Source organism: Homo sapiens, chromosome 19 (assembly GCF_000001405.40).
Source record: "Homo sapiens chromosome 19, GRCh38.p14 Primary Assembly".
Taxonomy (NCBI): Eukaryota; Metazoa; Chordata; class Mammalia; order Primates; family Hominidae; genus Homo; species Homo sapiens.
The window spans coordinates 9869729-9892806 of NC_000019.10; the positions used below are offsets into that span (position 1 = coordinate 9869729).

The 23078-nt window shown below is 50.7% G+C and overlaps 1 protein-coding gene across 2 annotated transcripts in view; it reads right to left on the reverse strand.

Moving 5' to 3' along the window:
* Positions 1-23078, reverse strand: part of OLFM2 (olfactomedin 2) — an 82798-nt gene that overhangs the window by 16011 nt on the left and 43709 nt on the right. The window lies entirely within an intron of this gene.

Below are 23078 nucleotides of genomic sequence, written 5' to 3' on the forward strand. Positions count from 1 at the left end.
GCCATCAGCTTCCTGAGCATCTGGGACTACAGGCATGTGCCACTATGCCCAGCTAATTTTTTATTTTTTGTAGAGATGGGAGTCTTGCTATAATTGCCCAAGCTGTGTTTGAACTCGTGGCCTCAGACAGTTCCTCCAGCCTCAGACTCCCAAAATGCTGGGATTACAGGCATGCACCACTGCACCTGGTTAATTTTTTAAAATATTTTTGTAGAGACAGGATCTTACTGTGCTGCCCAGACTGCTCTTGAACTCCTGGCCTCAAGCAATCCTCCAGCCTCAGCCTCCCAAAGTGCTAGGATTACAGGCATGCACCACTGCACCTGGTTAATTAAAAAAAAATTTTTTTTTTGTAGAGGTGGAGTCTCACTATGTTGCCCAGGCTGGTGCAGCAGCACGCTCACGGTTCACTGCAGCCTCGGATTCCTGGCCTCAAGGGATCCTCCCATCTCAGCCTCCCAAAGTACTGGGATTACTGGCCTGAGTCATCACACGCTGCCCTGCTATTATTATCTTCATAACACTCAAAAGGCCAATTTGGTAACTTCCTGAGGTCAAACGGTGTGAGTCTTGACACAATAAAAAGGATCTGGCAAAGTCTCATGGAGTTGGGGTTGAGGCTGTGGGATCATGAGGCAAAGAAAGTCCAACGAGGGAGAGAGGAGAGTGAGGGATGAGAGGGGACACTTGCTCCATCCTAGTCCCCACGCGGCCCAGCTGGCTTCCTTTTCCAGAATATCTCCTTGCTATAACCTGGCAGCAGGGGAGCCAAGGTCCTTCTCCATCCTTACAGGCACTGAACCAGGATGTAGGCGCACACTGCTGTGTTCTCTCTGGCCCATCCTCTCTAATTGTCTTTCCCTTCCCAGGTCACAGGATGCTTATTCTCATCTCCAGGCCTTTGCACGGGCCGGGCCTGCTGCCAATCCCCGCACTCTCCCCTTCTTAGGGCCAGGCTAACTCTTCCCCATCCCCGGGGCTCAAGCGTTCAGGTCTCTTCCAAAAGCAGTCTTGGTGGTCCCTGCCACGCGTTACCCTCCTCTCAAGTCACCCGGGAGGTGGAGGTTGCTGTAAGCCAAGATCGCAGTGAGCTGAGATTGCACCATTGCACTCCAGCCTGGGCAACAAGAGCAAAACTTTGTCTCAAAATAAATAAATAAATAGCCGGGTGTGGTGGTGCATGTCTGTGGTTTACAGTGGCTCGCATCTGTAATCCTGGCACTTTGGGAGGCCGAGGTGAGCTCAAGAGTTTAAGACCAGACCGGGCCCAGTGGCTTATGCCTGTAATCCCAGCACTTTGGGAGGTCATGTCAGGCAGATCACTCTAGGTCAGGAGTTCGAGACCAGCCTGGCCAACATGGTGAAACCCCATCTCTACTAAAAATACAAAAAATTAGCTGGGCATGGTGGCGAGAGCCTGTAATCCCCACTACTCAGGAGGCTGAGGCAAGAGAATCACTTGAACCTAGGAGGCAGAGGTTGCAGTGAGCTGAGATGGTGCCACTGCACTCTAGCCTGGGCAACAAAGCGAGATCCTGTCTAAAAAAAAAAATTATATAAAATTCCGGGTGCTGTGGCTCACACCTGTAACCCCAGCACTTCGGGAGGCCAAGGCAGGCGGATCACAAGGTCAGGAGTTCGAATCCAGCCCGAGCAACATGGTGAAACTCCGTCTCTACTAAAAATACAAAAAAATTAGCCAGGTGTGCTGGTGTGCTACTATGATCCCAGCTACTCAGGAGGCTGAGGCAGGAGACTCGCTTGAACCCTGGAGGCGAAGGTTGCAGTGAGCTGAGATCCCGCCATTGCACTCCAGCCTGGGCCACATAGCATGACTCTGCTCTCAAAAAAAAAAAAAAAAAAGCTCTTTGCCAAAGCATCACTGCCTGTAAGTGATGTAGCTGGAATTCGAACACAGGCCATCTGGTTACACAGTCTACACTGGCTTGCGGCACCTCTCCTGTCCTCCTCCAAGCCCTGATCACAGTCGCCATTAGGAGGGCCTCACGGGTGGGAATGCTGGCTCCAGGCCTGCCTCTACCCTGGGAAAGGAAACCACAGGGGAGCGGGGAGTTTTGTTTGCTGTGCAAACAATTCATCCGTGATCCTCAGAACCTGGCACAAGGTATGTTTGTTGAATGAGGATGCTGATGAACCAGTGGGACAGAGAGCAAACACCTTCACAGGTCTACCGTGAATTTCTCCTTTCTGCCACGGAGCTTGCTTCTGTTGTTCGTCCTAGGGAAGGATCACCTGAGATTAGGCTGCAGACAGGTGCCCAGTAGGCTAGGCAGAGGCTGTGGCTTCTCTCTGACTGCGAGAATGGCAGGAGGGCCGTGATGAATGATGGAGAATGTGCCTGTCTGCTATGTCTGAGCCGTGACAGGGGGCCACGTCCCTTTGGAAAGCTTGAGATAATAGCAGCCTGCTCTTGTCAAACCTTGAGGTATTGGGCAAATATCCCCTGAGTGATAAGCTTGACAGGCCTTAAAGAAGATATCAGCCAGGCGCTGTGGCTCATGCTTGCATTCCCAGCACTTCGGGAGGCCAAGGCAGGCAGATGGCTTGAGCTTAGGAGTTCGGGACCAGCCTGGGCAATATGGTAAGACCCTGTCTCTACCAAAAATACAAAATAATTTAGCCAGGCATGGTGGCACGAGCCTGTGGTCCCAGCTACTCAGAAGGCTGAGGTGGGAGGATCGCCTGAGCCTGGGAGGCAGAGGTTGCAGTGAGCCGAGATCACGCCACTGCACTCCAACCTGGGTGACAGAGCGAGACCCTGTCTCAAAAGAAAAAAAAAAAAATATTAGTTCACCCGCGCCATGCTGGAAGCCTGGGAACCGCCTGGGGCCTCCCTCAGCCTGAGAACTGGGGTTTTGCCTGGAAGAGCCTTGTGGGTCGGGGAGGGGTCAGGATAGAAAGTGATTGTGAATCCACATATTCATTCATCCATCCATTCATTCACCTTTCCACCCATTCATCCATCTATCCATTCATTCATAAAACCAACCATCTATCCATCTATCCATCCATTCATTCATCTGCTCATCCATTTATCTGTTTACCCATTCATTCATTCATCCATTCACTCGTATTCATTCATCCAACCATCCATTTATATACATCCATCCATCTATCCATCCATCCATTCATTCATCTGTCCATCCATCCCTCCCCAAGCTCTACTCCCATTCTGAATTTCATATTTTACTTAACACTTGTAGAGCTCGCTCTTCTTAGTTGCTTTACAAATATTACCAAAATTCAATCCTTAGAGCCCCATCTCATGGTAGGTACTAACACTAGCTCCATTCTACAGATGGGAAAACTGAGATACAGAGAAAAGTCAAGTTACCCAAATTCACAGAGCTGGGATTTGGATGCCAGCCTATCAGACTCTCAGCCACTATGCTGGGAGGACAAGAGTCACTTCCTTCAGGGTCTCACTCTGCCGCGCAGGCTGGAGTGCAGTGGTGTAATCACGGCGCGATCACTGCTCACTGCAACCTCCACCTCCCAGGCTCAAGCCATCCTCTCATTTCAGCTCCCTGAGTAGCTGGGACTACAGGTGCACACCACCACGCCAGGCTAATTTTTGTATTTTTTGTAGAGACGGGGTTTCACCATGTTGCCCAGGCTGGTCTTGAACTCCTGGGTTGAAGGGATCCACCTGCCTCAGCCTCCCAGAGTATTGTGTTTACAGGCGTGAGCCATCACACCTGGCCAACATTTTTGGTTTTTTAAGAGACAGGGTCTCAAGCAGTTGTCCAGGCTGGAGTGCAGGGGCATGATCATAGCTCACTGCATCTTCAGCCTCCTAGGCTCAAGCAGTTCTCTTGCTTCAGCCTCCGGAGTAGCTGAGACCACAGGTGTGTGCCACCACACCCTGATACTTTTTTTATTTTTATTTTTGTTTTGAGATAGGGTCTTGCTCTGTCCCCCAGGCCGTGTCCCACATTGGTGTGATCATGGCTCACTGCAGCCTCAACCTCCCAGACTCGAGCAATCCTCCCACCTTAGCCTCCCAAGTAGCTGGGACTACCGATGTACACTATCATGCCCAGCTAATTTTTTTTTTTTTTTTTTTTTTTTTTTTTTTTTTTGTAGAGACAGGATCTCACTATGTTTCCCAAGCTAGTCTCGAACTCCTGACCTCAAGCGATCTTCCCATCTTGGTCTCCCAAAGCGCTGAAATTACAGGTGTGGGCCACCATGCCTACCTAATCAACTTTTACTTTTGGAATTATTTTAGGTTTACAGAAAAGTTACAACAATAATACAGAGAGCTCCTGTGTACCTCTCATCCTGACTTCCCTGTTATTACATCTTACATAACCATGATACACTTGTCACAACTAAGAAATCAACATCCGTGCATCCATTACTATTAACTAAACTCTAGACTTTATTCAAATTCCCCAGTTTTCCCACTTGAGTGCTTTTTCTGTTCCAGAATCTAATGCAGGATCCCACGTTACACTCAGTGGTTATCACATGTCTTTAGACTTATCTGGTCTATGACGTTTCTGTCTTGTTTTTTCTGACCTTGACAGTTTTGAGGATTACTGGCCAGGGAGTTTTGGAGAATGCCCCACTGGCCTTTTTTTTTTTTTTTTTAAGAGAGATGGGGGTCTCACTATGTTGCCCAGGCTAGACTCAAACTCCTGACCTTAAGTGACCCTCCCACCTAAGCCTCCCAAAGTGGTGGCATTACAGACATAAGCCATCATGCCCAGCCACCACCGGCTTTTATTTTATTTATTTATTTTTGAGATAGAGTCTCCCTCTGTCGCCCAGGCTGGGGTGCAGTGGAGCCATCTCGGCTCACTGCAACCTCTACCTCCTGGGTTCAAGCGATTCTCCTGCCTCAGCCTCCCAAGTAGCTGGGACTACAGGTGTGCACCACCATGCCTGGCTAACTTTTCTATTTTTAGTAGAGATGGGGTTTCACCATGTTGGCCAGGCTGGTCTCAAATTGCTGACCTCAAGTGATCCACCCACCCTGGCCTCCCAAAGTGCTGGGATTACAGGCATGAGCCACCGCACCCAGTCTTTTATTTTATTTTTTAGAGACAAGGTCTTGCTGTGTTGCCCAGACTGGTCTTGAACTCCTGAGCTCAAGTAATCCTCCTGCCTCGGCCTCACAAAGTGCTGGGATTACAGGCATGAGACACTGCACCCGTCCCCTAATGGCTTTTGAGGGCAGGAACTGTGGCCTCACTTTGCTGGACGTTTCCCCAGCCTGTAACCCAATGCAGTAGCTGCTTCAGACGCTTCCTAAATGAACAAATATTGAATGGCCATCACTGAGAGCTTTATCTTCCTGTGCTCCCTGTTCCGCAGGCATCCCTGCCAGAGGCTAGATCTAGAAGAGTTCACGGCGAAATAAAAGCTTTTCTCCTTTCAGAAAGATTTGTTTTTGATCCTTTCTTTGTAGACATCAAGGATTCATTTCTTTAATATTTAAGGGCTTTTGTACCAAAGAGAAGCAGCCGCATTTGCATCAGTCTCATTTTTTCAAGGCAGGCGAGAGAGATCTTTCTAGCAAGATGGGGTTTCTTCCTTCACGGAGCTGTCACTTGATTTATCTGCTTCTCCTTCCCCAGCCTTCATGCCTCTGGCAGGGGGCAGGGAAGAGCGAGGGTTCTGGAATGATCCACAGACTCTGATGTCCTCTCTGCCACAGCCCAAGGAAGCTTAATTAGAACCTCGCCAATTTGCTGGGACTGAGGTGGCCTTAGGAGCTGGTGCAGGGGCCTGGCCGGGGATGAAGATGAATTAGCAGCTTTTTTTTTTTTTTGAGACAGGCTGGAGTGCAGTGGCACGATCACGACTCACTGCAGCTTCGACTTCCCTGGCTCAGGTGATCCTCCCACCTCAGCCTCCCGGGTAGCTGGGACCACAGGCACTTACCAGCACATCTGGTTGTTTGTTGTTGTTGTTTTTCTTTTGTTTTTTGTTTGTTTTTTCTCACAGAGACAGGGTATCGCCCTGTCTCAAACTCCTGAGCTCAAGCAATCCTCCCACCTCGGCCTCCCCAAGGTGCTGGGATTACAGGTATGAGCCACTGCACCTGGCCTGAATTAGCAGTTTTATTTCCTGTCCCTCTGAATAGCTCAATAGCTACCACGGGGACCAAAAGCCTGCCTTGGGTACACAGAGCATGTCCCTTTTCTAACATTAGCTGGTCAGAAGTGGGAATCCCTTTAGCCATGCAGGCCTGCAGGTCTCACTGCTTTTTATTTCTCAGCCCCAGGAGGCCAAGCTGAAGGCAGAGAATCTAAAGAAGCTGTCTTCAGCGAGGTCATCTCCCCGCCACCGAGGTCCCTACTGCTGGGAGACACTGGCCCCAATTTAATCTCTTGCCTGAAGTTTTTCAGACGTAAAAATGAGCCTGGGTGAGCTTTTCAGATAGTTCCTTCAACTTACAGGAATTCAATTTCTGGCCTGGATATAAATTTGCAGCCATCAGCGCCCGTGGTAGGGGCTGGGGCTGGGCGCTTTGGCCGGGGATGGATTTCTGAAATCAATCCGTCCGCGTGTGGAAAAGGTCGCCATGGGGGACATTTAACTTCCATGGCTGGCTGAGGCATTTCACACCGATAGCCAGGGACACCCCTATACAAAATGGAAGTGTTTGCTGCGAGTCCCCCAGGCAGCGGCTGGAGGGAGGCCTCGAAGGCTGGACAGCACAGCCAGGAGGTGACATTGATCAACCTGCCAATAACAGACAGCCAGGTACCAGGACTCCTGAAAACCCACCTCCAAGGGCTCTTTCCTGCTAGGTCCCCATGCGCCCCTGCGGGTGGCAAGTCCACTCTGGGTCCAAACCCTTTATCCCTTGGCTACACCTCCAACACACATTCCAGGGTTTCAAAGAAATGAGTCTCAAATGCATTCAATTCCCCCAGTGGAGGTGGGAGGACGTGGTCATTAAGGGTCTCCTAGGTTCGAGCCTCAGGTCTGCCGTGTGACCTTGGGCTACTGACTTAACCATCCTGTGCCTCCGTTCCCCCAGTTAGAGTATATAGCTAAGAATAGTACTGATGTCATGAGGTGGTTGTTAATATATCAGAATGGCTTAACGTAATGTTATGGTTTGAATGTGTCCCCGCAAAATTCATGTGTTGGAAACGTAATCCATTTTATTTATTTATTTATTTAAAGTGAAAGCAAGTTTATTAGAGAAGTAAAGAAACAGAAGAATAGCTACTTCAGAGGCTGGGTGCGGTGGCTCACACCTGTAATCCCAACACTTTGGGAGGTCAAGGGGGGCAGATCACTTAAGGCCAGGAGTTCGAGACCAGCCTGGCCAACATGGTGAAATCCTGCCTCTAGTAAAAATACAAAATTTAGCTGGGCATGATGGCGGGCGCCTGTAATCCCAGCTACTCGGGAGGCTGAGGGATGAGAATCGCTTGAACCAGGTAGGTGAAGGTTGCGATGAGCCGAGATGGTGCCACTGCACTCCAGCCTTGGCGACAGAGTGAGACTCCATCTCAAAAAAAAAAAAAAAAAAATATGGCCAGGTGCGGTGGCTCACACCTGTAATCCCAGCACTTTGGGAGGCTGAGGCGGGCAGATCACCTGAGGTCAGGAGTTCAAGACCAGCCTGACCAACATGGAGAAACCCCGTCTCTACTAAAAATACAAAATTAGCCAGGCGTGGTGGCACATGCCTGTAATCCCAGCTACTCTGTAGGCCGAGGCAGGAGAATGGCTGGAACTCGGGAGGCGGAGGTTGCGGTGAGCCAAGATTGTGCCATTGCACTCCAGCCTGGGCAACAAGAGAGAAACTCTGTCTCAAAAATAAATAAATAAATAAATAAATAAATAAATAAATAAATACAATAAAATAAAAATAAAAAAAGTAACAGTGTTGAGAGGTAGCACCTTTAAAGATGAGGTTAGGTGAATTAATGCCATTATCAGGGAAGTGGGTTAGTTATCATGGCAGTGGGCTATTGACAACAAGAATGATTTTGGTCCAATTTCCTCTCTCTGTGTCACTTTTGCCTTCAGCCCTTTGGCCATGGGATAACCTTTGCCAGAGGCTGGTGCTATGCCCTTGGACTTCCCAGTCTCCAGAACTGGAAAAATAAATTTTTTTTTTTAAGAAAGATTAATTAATTGATTATTTTACAGATGAGGTCTGGTTCTGTTGCCCAGGCTGGAGTGCAATGATGCGATCCTGACTCATCACAGTCTCAACATTCCAGGCTCAGTCGATCCCCCTGCCTTAGCCTCCTGAGTAGCTGGGACTACACACGTGCCACCACATCTGGCTAATTTAAAAAATCTGTGTAGTCATGGGGTCTGGCCACATTGCCCAGGTGGGTCTTGAACTCCTGGGCTCAAGCAACCCTTCCACCTTGGCTGCCTAGGTGCTCGGATTACAGGCGTGAGCCACCACACCCAGCCCTTTATAAATTACCCAATCTGTGGTAGTCTGTTATAGTAACAGCAAACAGGCCGGGACACATACGCAACGTGATATTCAAGGGAGTGTGACAGAATTGCCTATGGAATAAAAATAAGCAAATCGGTGCTGACTGGGAACACAGAAAGGTGGGCTGGACCATCTGAGCTTCAATCTTGGCTCTGTGTTACCCTGGACAAGTGACTCTCTCTGAGCCTCAGTTTCATTTCTCTCTTTTTTTTTTTTTTTTTTTTTTTTTGAGATGGAGTTTCACTCTTGTCACCCGGGCTGGAGTGCAATGGCACAATCTCAGCTCACTGCAGCCTCCACATCCCAGGTTCAAGCAGTTCTCCTGTCTCAGCCTCCCTAGTAGCTGGGATTACAGACATGAGCACCTGGCATCAGTTTCATTTCTCAAACAGGGAAACTGGCAGTAGGTGATGAGATGACCCTGTCGGCATTTTGAGGCTCCAGCGAGCTAATACAACGGAAGTGCTTCAAGCCCTGGTTCAGAGAGAGTGCTCAGGAAATACCAGTGGCTGTTTTCCAGATAGGACAGCACCCTCCACAGCTTCCCCACATTCACAGATAAGCAAGGAAGAAAGAAAAAGGAAGAGGCAATTATAACAGGGTGTGATAAGTGCCACGATGCAGGGAAGCACAGAACACTGGAAGACCTGGGCTCTATCTCTGGGCTCCAGAGCCTGAATTTTTTGTTTGCTTGTTTGAGACTCGGTAGCCCAGGCTGGAGCACAGTGGCGCAGTCATGGCTCACTGCAGCCTCAACCTCCTGGACTCAAGCGATCCTCCCACCTCGGCCTCCTGAGTGGCTGAGTGATAGGGTCTGGATTTGTGTCCCGTTCAAATCTCATGTCAAATTGTAATCCCCAATGCTGGAATAGGGGCCCAGTGGGAGGTGACTGGATCATGGGGCTAGGTTTCCCCTTGCTGTTCTCCTGATAAGGAGTGAGTTCTTATGAGATCTCGCTGTTTGTTTGTTTATTTATTTTGAGACAGTTTCACTCTTGTTACCCAGGTACAATGGCGCAATCTCAGCTCGTTGCAACCTCCGCCTCCCGGGTTCAAGCGATTCTCCTGCCTCAGCCTCTCAAGTAGTTGGGATTGCAGGCATGCGCCACCACGCCTGGCTAATTTTGTATTTTTAGTAGAGACGGGGTTTCTCCATGTTGGTCAGGGTGGTCACCAACTCCCAATCTCAGGTGATCTGCCCCCCTCGGCCTCCCAAAGTGCTGGGATTACAGGCGTGAGCCACCGTACCCAGCCAAGCTCTCGTTGTTTAAACGTGTGTAGCACCTCCCCCAGTCTCTCTCTTGCTCCTGCTCTGGCCGTGTAAAACCCGCCTGCTTCCCTTTCACCCCCTGCCATGAATGTCAGTTTCCTGAGGCCTCCCCAGCTATGGTTCCTGTACAGCCTGTGGAACTGTGAGCCAATTAAACCTCTTTTATTTATAAATTACCCAGTGTCAGGTATTTCTTTATAGCAGTATGAGAACGAACTAATACACTGGGACTCCAGGTGTGCGCCACCACGCCTGGCTAAGTTTTTTAATTTTTAAAAATTATATTTAAATTTTTAAGAGCCTGGGCTATGTTGCCCAGGCTGGTCTTGAACTCTTTTTTGTCTTTTGAGGTGGAGTCTCACTCTGTCACCCAGGCTAGAGTGCAGAGGCAAGATCTCGGCTCACTGCAACCTCCGTCTCCTGGGTTCAAGTGAGTCTCCTGGCTCAGCCTCCTGAGTAGCTGGGACTACAGGTGCACACCACCATGCCTGGCTAATTTTTGTATTTTTAGTAGAGACAAGGTTTCATCATGTTGGCCAGGCTGGTCTCGAACTCCTGACCTCAGGTGATCTGCCCACCTCAGCCTCCTAAAGTGCTGGGGTTACAGGCATAAGCCACTGGGCCCGGTCTGGTCTTAAACTGTTGAGCTCAAGTGATCCTCCCACCTCGGCCTCCCAAAGTGCCAGGATTACAGATGCGAGCCACTGTGCCTGGCCCAGAGCCTGGTTTTGAGGGTGTAGCAATGGCCTTCTGGAAGATGCAATAGCTAAGTTTACGGATGTAGGAGCGAGAGTCAGCATGGGCAAAGGCAGGGAGGGCAGAGCATCCGTTCATCCCAGAAATATTTACTGAGCACCCACTATGTGCCAGGCACTGTTCTAGGTACTGGGGTCACTACTGTCCAGGAGACGCGCAGACATCCCCAACCTCATAAAGCTTCTGCTCTAGTAGGAAGACGCATGGCAAACAGAGGAACCTGAAAGTTGTTTAATGAGGAGTTGGGGCCAGGTGTGATGGGGCACACCTGTAATCCCAGCACTTTAGGAGGCTAAGGTGGGAGGATCACTTGTGACCAGGTGTTTGAGGTTGCAGTGAGCTGTGATCACACCACTGCACTCCAACCTGAGCAAGAGAGCGAGACCCCATCTCTAAAAATAAATAAATAATACAAATAAATAAAAGAGGAGATGAAGACACACACATAGGAAAAGACCACGTGAAGATACAGTAAGAAGGTGGCCACCTGCAAGCCAATGAGAGAGGCCTCAAAAGAAACTAATGCTTTGATTTCAGACTTCAAGCCTCTAGGATTGTGAGAAATTAAATTTCTGTTGTTTAAGCCACCCAGCCCAAAGCACTTCATGACAGCAGACCTAGTAAACAAACACACATTTCTGCAGCTTTGGCGCTCTCTCTGTGGCCTGGGGGTAGCAATAGCTCCTCTCAGCTGCAGACCCAAGGATTTTCTGAGACAGAGTCTTGCTCTGTCACCCAGGCTGGAGTGCAGTGACGCAATGTAGGCTCACTGCAGCCTCTGCCTCCCAGGTTCAAGCAATTCTCCTGCCTCAGCCTCCCAAGCAGCTGAATTTACAGGCACCTACTACCACACCCGGCAAATTTTTGTATTTTTAGTAGAGACGGGGTTTTGCCATGTTGGCCAGCTGGCCTCAAACTCCTGACCTCAAGTGATCTGCCTGCCTCGGCCTCCCAAAGTGCTGGGATTACAGGCATGAGCCACTGTGCCCGGCAACCCCAGGGATTTTCAACATCCCTTTGCTCCTTCTATTAACCTTGCCCACATCTCTGAAAACAGTCATTTCATTCCAGAGAATTGTCCTCTGGAATCCCTTTTGAAGGAACTATGCTTTTTCCTGGGACCCTGCCCTATACAGTGATGCCCTATACAGTAGCCTGACCGGGCAGGGCTACTGAGAGATGGACTCTAAGATGGACTCAAGGGTAGGAAACTTCCAAGGGCGTGCATGTGAGTTTGCTCAGGCTGCCTTGACTGAGTATCCCAGGCTGGGCAGCATAAGCAACAAAAATGCATTGTCTCACAGTTCTGGAGGCCGGAAGTCAGAAGTCGAGGTGTCAGCAGGGTTGGTTCCTTCAAGCCTCACTACAGCCTCAACCTCTTGGACTCAAGGGATCCTCTCAGCTCAGCCTCCCGAGTAGCTGGGACTACATGTGCATGCCACCATGTCCCACTAATTTTTAATTTTTTTTTTTTTACAGTTGGGGGGTCTTGCTGTGTGGCCTAGGCTGGTCTTGAACTCCTGCTGTCAAGTGATCCTCCCACCTCAGCCTCCCAAAGTGCTGGGACGACAGGTGTGAGCTACTGCACCCGGACCTAATCTCCTTTTCTTATACAGACATGAGTCATGTTGGATTAGGGCCCATTCCAAAGGCCTCATTTTAATTTAATCACCTCTTAAAAAAACCCCACCTCCAAATACAGTCACATTCATTGTGAGGTACTGGGTGTTAAGAATTAAACATATGGGCTGGGCGTGGTGGCTCACGCCTATAATCCCAACACCGTGGGAGGAGGCCGAGGCGGGTGGATGGCTTGAGCCCAGGCAATTACTTGAGACTAGCCTGGGCAACACGGCAAAACCTCATCTCTACAAAAAATACAAAAATTAGCCAGGTGTGGTGGCTCGCACCACTAATCTCAGCTACTCGGGAGGCTGAGGAGGGAGGATCACCTCAGCCCAGGGAGGTCAAGGCTGCAGTGAGCTGTGATAACGCCACTGCACTCCAGCCTGGGCAACAGAGTGAGACCCTGTCTCAAAAAAGAAAAAAAAAAGGCCAGGCGCGGTGGCTCATGCCTGTAATCCCAGCTCTTAGGGAGGCCGAGGTGGGTGGATCGTGAGGTCAGGAGATCGAGACCATCCTGGCTAACACAGTGAAACCCCGTCTCTACTAAAAATACAAAAAATTAGCCAGGCAAGGTGGCGGGCGCCTGTAGTCCCAGCTACTCGGGAGGCTGAGGCAGGAGAATGGCGTGAACCCGGGAGCTGCAGCTTGCAGTGAGCCAAGACCGCACCACTGCACTCCAGCCTGGGCGACAGAGTGAGACTCCGTCTCAAAAAAAAGAATTAAATACATGAATTTTTGGGGGGTGGAAACACACAATTCAGCCCATAGCTGTGTGTGAGTGGGGTAGGAATGTGGTCAGGGGCTGGGCGGTGGCTCACACTCGTAATCCCAGCACTTTGGGAGGCCGAGGTGGGTGGATCACTTGGCCTCAGGAGTTTGAGACCAGCCTGGGCAACGTAGTGAGACGCTGTGTCTACAAAAAATTAAAAAATAAGCTGGGCATGGTGGTGCATGCCTATAGCCTCAGCACCTCAGGAGGCTGAGGTGGGAGGATTGTTTGAGCTCAGGAGTGAGCTATGATTGTGCCACTGCATTCCAGCCTGGGGAACAGAGCAAGACCCTATCTATTAAAAAAAATAAAAAAAAAAGCCAGGCGCAGTGGCTCACACCTGTAATCCCCCCACTTTGGGAGGCCAAGGTGGGTGGATTACATGAGGTTAGGAGGTCGAGACCAGCCTGGCCAGCATGGTGAAACCCCATCTCTACTAAAAAAAAAAAAATACAAAAAAAATTAGCCAGGAGTGGTGACAAGTGCCTGTAGTCCCAGCTACTTGGGAGGCTGAGGCAGGAGAATCACTTGAATCCGGGGGTGGAGGTTACAGTGAGCCGAGATCGCACCACTGAACTCCAGCCTGGGTGACAAGAGCGAGACTCCATCTCAAAAAAAAAAAAAGGATGTGGCCAAGGAGATCATGAAAGGTGAACTGGCCAGGGCAAAACACAGGCAAAAATCCAACAAATTCCAGGTAAGCATATCCAGGCTGACTCAGCCCATCCCTCTGGGTAAGCCCAAGACTTTCAGATGAATCAATCTCAGAGGCAGAAAACAGCTCCAGCCTAGAGGCAGGCACGTCCTCTGCTTGGAGGGGAGGGGGTAGTGGCGGCCACCTGGGTCACCGGAGACCTTTGTTAGCGAGAATGGGCTGCTTAAAGGGAAATCAATCCTGGCTAAGCACTGAGCAGCTGCTCCCAGTCAAAGCTGCCGGAGAGAGGCCCGTGGCCCCCCAGCTTCTCCAGGGCTGGGAGTGGAGCCAGAGGAGGCTGAAGACTGCTCTGCCAGGTGGCAGGACTCAGAGGGCCTTCAATCAGCCTGCATTGTACCCGCCAGCGCCTGTATCCATCCCCGGCTGAGCACGCACTTCAGTATCACCTCTAGCCATGGCATGCACCAAAGAGCAGCATCCAGCAAGTGATAACATCTTCACCAGTTTAGTCAAGCATTGCCCGTGTGCCAGGCATTTTGCATGCACGATGTGTGCACGGGGGACCTCATCGCACCACCTCCTAGCCATGACCTCAGACAAGTGACTTAAGCCTCATGGTGCGCCAGTTTCCCCATCTGTAAAACGAGGTGAACAGCAGCATCCCCCTCTTAGGGCAGTCACGGAGGTTGAACGAATGCCTGCGCACACAGAGCTTAAAATCACAGTAGTCTTAGCTGGGCATGGTGACTCACACCTATAATCCCAGCACTTTGGGAGGCCGGGGTGAAAGGATGGCTTGAGCCCAGGAGTTCAAGACCAGCCTGGGTAACATAGTGAGACCTCCGTCTCTAACAAAAATACATAGATTAGCCAGGCATGGTGGTGCGCACCTGTAGTCCCAGCTACTTGGGAGGCTGAAAGAGGAGGATCACCTGAGCCCAGGGAGGTTGAGGCTGCAATGAGCTGTGATCATGCCACTGCACTCCAGCCTGGGTGACAGAGTGAGACCCTGTCTCAAAAATTAAAAAAAAAAAAAAAAAAAGCCCAGGCACAGTGGCTCAGGACTGTAATCCCAGCACTTTGGGAGGCTGAGGCAGGCGGATCACAAGGTCAGGAGTTCGAAACCAGCCTGGCCAACATGGTGAAATCCCATCTCTACCAAAAATATATAAAATTAGCCGGGTGTGGTGGCAGGTGCCTGTAGTCCCAGCTACTCGGGAGGCTGATGCAGGAGAATCGCTTGAACCTGGGAGGTGGAGGTTGCACTGAGCCGAGATTGTGCCAGTGCACTCCAGCCCCAGGTCTATGGGACTGTAGAGATGCTGGTGTTTCTACAGCTAGGACTCGCCAGTTCTAGGCATTCTTCAGAGCTCACAGCAAACACCACCACCTCCAGGAAGCCTTCTCCATCATCTAAGATAGGTCTGTGTTCCTTCCTGTGCACATCTCCACAGCTCCCTGCCCCTTCCCTCCACAAAGTTCTTATATTTTATTCTTTTCCTTGCATGGTGGGTGTCTGCATGCCCCATTAGGATGTGAGCTCCAAAAGGGCAGGGCTGAGTCTGTCTTCTTCCATGCTATGGTCCCAACACCAGCAGATGCTGGAGACAATGGACAGGCATCAAGATATGAATGAATGAATGAATGCTTCCTGTACACTCCAAGTTTTCCATGTGACCCCTTCCTCCCCGACTCCCCAACACCCTCTGTCTGCTCTCTTCCTCCTTCCTCTCCCATCACAGGGTGGATACAGGGGCTCTGGGTTTTGAAGCGGTCATGGAGTCAAAGGTAGTTGAGTGTAGCTGTGAAGCACATGGACCCTGGAGGCCGACAACTTGAACTTCAAAACCCGGCTTCTCTTTCTAGCTGTGTGACCATGGGAAAGTGACTTAACCTCTCTGTGCCTCACTTTCCCCACCTGCAAAATGGGAGTGATAGTAGTGCCTTACTGTTGAGTGAGTGATTCTGACCCATTCCCAGACTGCAATTCCCAGACTGGGAGGCAGAGGGCTGAGTCTCCGGCAGTTAATGAATCCGGAAAAAATCTCAGCTGTGTCAGAGGAGCCCCAGTGCCAAGTTGGCCTGGTTTTCATCCCAAGAGAGCTGAGAACATGGTCTGGTGTCAGACATCCACGCTGTGATTGGCACAAATGCCTGGTGCTCCTATGACCCCCCTCGTTAGGGCTGGGGGAGTGTGGGAGATGCTCCTGGGGCTCTGCCCAGAGCTGCTGACTGCCTAGATGTACCCACCCTGCAGCTGCTGAGCACGGCGGCTCATTGCTAGCAGCTGTGATCTTCTCTGGACCTGCCCATGGCTTTTGGGAGCCACCACACCTTGGAGATGCTTGGGAGGTGTCACCTACTCCCAGGGGCAGCTAATGACTGATGCAGGGGTAAAAAGCCCACTCCTCTTCTCATGGTGAGATAACTCCACAGTGTCCCCCCACCCTTGTGGAGCAAGCCAAACCGGGACTTTACCTAGGATCTCATCTTTGCTCAATCTATTCTCTTCCAGGTCCTGCTCCCCTCACCCCTGCCCTGACTTTCAATTATGTGCTCCACAGTCAGGCACGGTGGCTCATGCCTGTAATCCCAGTACTTTGGGAGGCCGAGGCAGGAGGATCATTGAGCCCAGGAGTTTAAGACCAGGCTAGGCAACACAGCAAGACCCTGTCTCTACAAAAGATTAAAAAATTAACCAGGTGTGGTGGCGCACACCTGTAGTCCCAGCTACATGGGAGGCTGAGGTGGGAGGATTGCTAGAGCCCAGAAGGTTGAGGCTGCAGTGAGCCATGATTGCACCCCTGCACTCCAGCCTGGGCAACGGAGCAAGACCCTGTCTCAAAAAAGAAAAAAAAAAAGTGCTGGAAACTTACGTCTCTAGTTCTGCTTCTCAGGAACCCAACCTAAGATGGGGGAAATGATGAACATTCAACCTAAGAGGGTTTTTGTTTTTGTTTTTGTTTTTTGAGACAGAGTTTCGCTCTTGTTGCCCAGGCTGGAGTACAATGGAGTGATCTTGGCTCACTGCAACCTCTGCCTTCCAGGTTCAAGTGATTCTCCTGCCCCATCCTCCCGAGTAGCTGGGATTACAGGCACACACCACCATGCCCAGCTAATTTTTTGTATTTTTAGTAGAAATGGGGTTTCACCATGTTGGCCAGGCTGGTCTCGAACTCCTGACCTCAGGTGATCTGCCCACCTTGGCCTCCCAACATGTTGGTATTACCGCACTGGGCCCTAAGAGGGTATTTATGTCAGTGTCCCTTCAGGTTCACATTCACACCCTGGCACCGAGTTCTGTCATTTCCACCTAAATAGGCAATCCATCCTGCACAACCCCGAAAGCAGCCCTCACTTCGAAATGCATCCTCGATTCTGCCCAGTCTGCCTCGTCCACATGTGCAGCCCCTGTCATGCTCCAGGACCATCCCTGATGCATTTTTCCGCACCTTACATTCATCTCGTTTCTTTTTCTTTCTTTCTTTTTTTTAAATCTCAGCTCACTGCAACCTCTGCCTCCTGGGTCCAAGCGACTCTCCTGCCTCAGCCTCCCAAGTAGCTGGGATTACAGGCATGTGCCACCACGCCTGGCTAATTTTGTATTTTTAGTGGAGACAAGGTTTCACCATGTTGGCCAGGCTGGTCTCAAACTCCTGACCTCAGGTGATCTGCCTGCCTCGGCCTCCCAGTGTTGGGATTACAGGTGTGAGCCACCGTGCCTGGCCTCATATTATTTCTTGTCTGTCGCTCTCATATGTACACTCCCCAAAGGGCAGGAATTTTTATCACTTTGTTCATTGCTGTGTCCTCAAAACAGAACAGTGCCTGGCACGCAGCAGGTGTTCAATAAACATCTCTGGCATTCAAGAATAAATCGTTTAAGTACATTCACTTGCAAACAGAATCCACCCAATTTTTCTTTTTCTTTCATTTTTTTTTTAGATGGAGTCTCGCTCTTGTTGCCCAGGCTGGAGTGCAGTGGTGTGATCTTGGCTTACAGCAACCTCCACCTCCCGGGTTAAAGCGATTCTCCTGCCTCAGCCTCCCGAGTAGCTGGGATTACAGGCACACACCACCACCCCCAGCTAATTTTTGTATTTTTAGTAGAGATGAGGTTTCTCCATGTTGGCCAGGCTGGTCTCAAACTCCTAACCTCAAGTGATCCACTTGCCTCGGCCTCCCAAAGTGTTGGGATTACAGGCATGAACCACCGCACCGCCCACCCTCTCTTTCTCTTATACCAATGCATCAGCCTTACCTTTAGAATCTACCCATTGCTCTACCCTCTTGATGGCCATCTCCATGGTCAAGCCCCTGGCATTGCTCACCTGAACCAGCAGAGTTCATCCCTTCCATGGTCTCCCAGTTCCCCCTACTTGCCCCCACAGTCTGCTTCCCCCACAGCAGCCAGAGAGCACCTGTGAACACATGAATCACACTGAGTCTCTCCCGTGCTGAGAACCCTCCATGGCTCCCATCTCCCCTGAGTTAAAAGCCCAAATCCTCAGCCAAGCGTGATTACACCTGTAATCCCAGTATTTTGAGGCCAGAGGATCACTTGAGCCCAGGAGTTTGAGACCAGCCTAGGCAACATAGTGAGACCCCATCTCTACAAAAAATTAAAAAATAAGCCGGAAGTGGTGGCATGTGTCTGTAGTCCCTTCTACACAGGAGGCTGAAGTGGGAGGATCGCTTGAGCCTGGGAGGTCGAGGCTGTGGTGAGCCATGATCTCTCCTTGTCTCAAAGTAGAGTTCTCCCCAAGGCACGTAACTCCTTCACAATCTGTCCCATCACCTCCCTGCCCTCACTTCCTTCCACTCTCCCTCTCACTCACTCTGTTCCAGCCACACTGTTCCTGCAAAACCCCAAACATATTTCTTCTATATCACCTCTTTGCACTGGCTATCCCCTCTGCCTGAAATGTCCTTCCACCTCCTTCAGACCCTTACTGAAATGTCATTGTCTCAAAAGACCCTCCCTGCTGGCCTGGCGCAGTGGCTCATGTCTGTAATCCCAGCACTTTGGGAGGCTGAGGTGGGTGGATCATTTGAGGTCGGGAGTTCGAGACCAGCCTGGCTAACATGGTGAAACCCCCGTCTCTACTAAAAATACAAAAATTAGCCGGGTGTGGTGGTGCGTGCCTGTAATCCCAGCTACTCGGGAGGCTGAGGCAGGAGAATCGCTTGAGCCTGGGGGGCGGAGGTTGCGGTGAGCTGAGATCATGCGACTACACTCCAGTCTGGGCGACAGTGAGACCTTACCTCAAAAAAAAAAAACAAAAAACAAACCTTCCCTGATCTCCCCTGGCCAGAACTACAAGTGCCCCAGCACCCCCCATCCACTTCCCTACTCCATCTGCTTCCGCCACATCATTTATGCATTAATTTTGCAAATTATCTTTCTTCCCCTCCAGAACGTCAGGCAGGAGTTTTTACCTGTTTTTGTTCACTGCTGTGTTGCCAGCACTTAAAATAGATCATCTTGCACACAACAGGCACCTGGTATCCATTTGTTATTTTTAAAATTCTGCCGGGCACGGTGGCTCACGCCTGTAATCCCAGCACTTTGGGAGGCCGAGGCGGGCGGATCACAAGGTCAGGAGATCGAGACCATCCTGGCTAACACGGTGAAACCCCGTCTCTACTAAAAATGTAAAAAATTAGCCGGGCATGGTGGCGGGTGCCTGTAGTCCCAGCTACTTGGGAGGCTGAGGCAGGAGAATGGCTTGAAGCCGGGAGGCAGAGGTTGCAGTGAGCCAAGATTGCGCCACTGCACTCTAGCCTGGGTGACAGAGCGAGACTCCGTCTCAAAAAAAAAAAAACAATTCTGCACAACAACCATATGAGGTAGGAACTCTCGGTGTGCCCCTTATGTGGGTGAGGAAACTGAGGCCTGGAGAGGGGAGGGGGTGTGCTTGGGTCATGGGTTAGGGAGTGAGCTGTGGCCATGTGTCTCTCCATGGTGTGTATGTGTGCAACTGTGTGTTTTTTGTATTTTGTTTTTTGTTTTTGAGATAGGCTCTTGCTCTGTTGCCCAGGCTGGAGTGCAGTGGCGCGATCACAGCACACACAGTGTCAATCTCCCAGGCTCAAGCAATCCTCCCACCTCAGCCTCCCAAGTAGCTGGGACTACAGGTGCATGCCACCATGCCTAGTAAATGTTTGTCTTCTTTTGTAGAGATAGGGTCTCACTATGTTGCCCAGGCTGGTCTCAAACTCCTGGGCTCAAGCAATCCTCCTGCCTCAGCCTCTCAAAGTATTGGGATTACAGACATAAGCCACCACACCCAGCCCAACTGTGTGTTTTGTGCAGATGCAGTGTGAGTGGCTGCATCAGCCCGAATGTGGACAGAGGAGGATGCATTCAGGCTCACTTTGCATCGGGGTGTCTGTGAGTGGAAGGGAGGCAGTGGGCCAGACCCAGGCAGGTGTGAACACGTGTCTGTGTGTTCGGCTGGGTATGAATGCGTGTGTGTGCGCCAATGCACTGGCGGATGGGAAATTGTGCATCCACAGTGAAGCTGTGTGTATGTGTGTGAAGGGGAGGCTCTGTGAGCTTTGGATGGGGCTGGAGCTGCAGTTGAAGCAATGTTGTGGGTGAGGGAAGAACCCCACCAGCCACAGGCCTGTTATTTATAGACGAATCCTGGTTCATAAATTCCAATTTTTTTTTTTTTATATCTGCCTCACTGCCAGGCCCCTATAAATATTCATGAGTTTCCTGCCTTGGAATATTTGAGTAGTCAGAAGGAGGAGCCGGGAGGAGAGGGGACAACGAAGGGTCCCCAGTGGCGCTGGGAGCTCACACGGGTCGGGAGGACAGGGGTCTCTCTGGTTTTGCCTTCTCTTCCCTCTGGGCTCCCCTCTTCCAAGCTGCAGCTGGCAAGACGGGGAAGGCGCTGGGCTGGTGGAGACATCTACCAGCACCTATTATTCTTCTTCCCCAGTGTCTGTGGAAAAATACCACCCACTCCGGGGGCAGAGAAGGTGTCTGCACTGTTTTCTCAGCTCCAGCTCTAGCTGCAGCTCAGAAACTCATTACCCCTGGGACCCCCAGCTCAACAGAGACAGGGAGATCCCCCTGATGTATCTGAAGCTAAGGGAAGACTCTGGGGGGAGGGGGCGGGCACTGTGGCCTCCTGCCCTGCCTCAAGGAAGGAAACAGGTCATGAGAATGGGTGCCCGTGAGAAGGAATAAAGTGCGTGCATGTGGACGTGTCTACAGGAGTGAGTAACTGTTGGAACATGTAAGAGACTGCAGTAGTCAACAGAACTGTTGACACATTTTCTAGTTCTTTTCTCTTAGGCACATGATGGGGCTGTAGGACTTCCCCAGTGTGGCCACGTGACTTCCTTTAGCCAATGCCTTTTAAACGGCAGTGACTTCCAGGTGAATACTTTAAGAGCCGGTGTGGACCAGGTGTGGTGGCTCACACCTGTAATCCCAGCACTTTGGGAGGCCAAGGCAGGAGAACTGCTTGAGGCCAGGAGTTTGAGAACAGCCTGGGCAACATAGCAAGACCCCTATTCTACAAAATATTTTAAAAATTTATCGGGCATGGAGGTGCACACTTATATTCCCAGCTACTCAGGAGGCTGAGGCAGGAGGATTGTTTAAGCCCAGGAGTTGGAGGCTGCAGTGAGCTGTGATCACACCACTGCACTCCAGCCTGGGCACAGAGCAAAACCCTGTCTCTGAAACAACGAAGAAAAAAAGAGGCAAGCCAGTGTGCAGTGCCACAGTCTTCCCTCAGCAACCGCAGAAGGGCATGTTGGGCTGGGTGCAGTGGCTCACACTTGTAATCCCAGCACTTTGGTAGGCTGAGGCACGCAGATCACCTGAGGTCAGGAGTTCAAGACCAGCCTGGTCAACATGGTGAAACCCAGTCTCTACTAAAAATACAAAAATTAGCCAGGCCTGGTGGTGGGTGCCTGTAATCCCAGCTACTTAGGAGGCTGAGGCAGGAGAATCACTTGAACCTGGAGGCAGAGGTTGCAGTGAGCCGAGATCGTGCCACTGCACTACAGCCTGGGCAACAGAGCGAGACTCCATCTCGGAAAAAAAAAAAAAAAAAGTGCATGCTGGGGCCAGGCACAGTGGCTCACATCTGTAATCCCAGCACTTTGGGAGGCCGAGGTAGGTGAATCACTTGAGGTCAGGAGTTCGAGACCAGCCTGGCCAACATGGTGAAATCCTGTCTCTACTAAAAATATAAAAATTAGCCAGGTGTGCTGGCACGTGCCTGTAGTCCCAGCTACTTGGGAGGCTGAGGCAGGAGAATTGCTTGAACCGGGAGGCAGAGGTGAGCTGAGATGGCACCACTGCACTCCAGCCTGGCAACAGAGCAAGACTCCATCTCAAAAAAAAAAAAAAAAGTGCATGTTGGTATGAAGCCTCCATCACTGGGGTCCCTGAGTGGCCAGACTAGGCAGAGACCCTGCCAACCCTCATGTATCATGAGCAAAAGCTCATTTGGTTGTACTAACCCTCTGAGACTTGGGGGCTGTTTTGTTATACAGCAAAACCTAGCCTATGCTGACTGGCACAGAGCCAGTGAGTGTGTGAGACTGAGGTGTGGCACGTCTGTGTCTACATGATCAAGAACACACATGAGCAGGTAGCTATATATAGGTTTATGTGTGTGAGCATCAGCAAGTGTATAAAACTATGCATATGAATGTATAAAACAGGATGGTGTCAGATGATAGATAAGTGAGAAAACTCCAGGGACACTGTTCTCCGAGAACACCATGACCCTGGAGTCGGGCACTATTGCAGATGTGAAACTGGCATAGTGAGGAGGGCTATGTCTGAGTGTGCCAGTTGGCTGTGTTTGTAAGACTGTGATGTGGTCTGTACGTGTGTGTGCCAGGGTTTGGGGTGTCAATGTGCATGTCTGTGCCACGTGTTGCTGTGTATCTGAGGCACGTGCATGGGTTGGTGTGACTGTGTGTGTGCATGTGTGTATCTGCTGCTGTGTGGATATGTGATACCCTGGGTGTGACAGCCTATATGGAGTGGGGGCATCACTCAAGTCTGTATCAGAGTACATACAGCCAACACCACAGGGAGGGACAGCCACCCTGGGCATCCCTAGTGCTGTTGGCTCATGGGCCTGACCTGGCTCAACCTTGGATCCTAGGATGACCTGGCATTGGGAAATAAAATTCTGGCTGTGTGCGGTGCCTCACGCCTGTAATCCCAGCACTTTGGGAGGCCAAGGTGGGTGGATCACTTGAGGCCAGGAGTTCGAGACCAGCCTGGCCAACATGGCAAAACCCTGTCTCTACTAAAAATACGAAAATTAGCTAGGCTTGGTGGCGGGTGCCTGTAGTTCCAGCTACTCAGGAGGCTGAGGTGGGAGAATCACTTGAGCCCAGGAGGCAGATGACGCCACTGCACTCCAGCCTGGGTGACAGAGCAAGACTCTGTGTCAAATCAAATCAAATAAAAATAAAATTCTCATCCCCTCATGAGTCCTGGGACATTCCAAGTCATCTGCAATGGCCATTCATCCCAGAGGCACTCGACAGTTTGGGTGACGCGGCT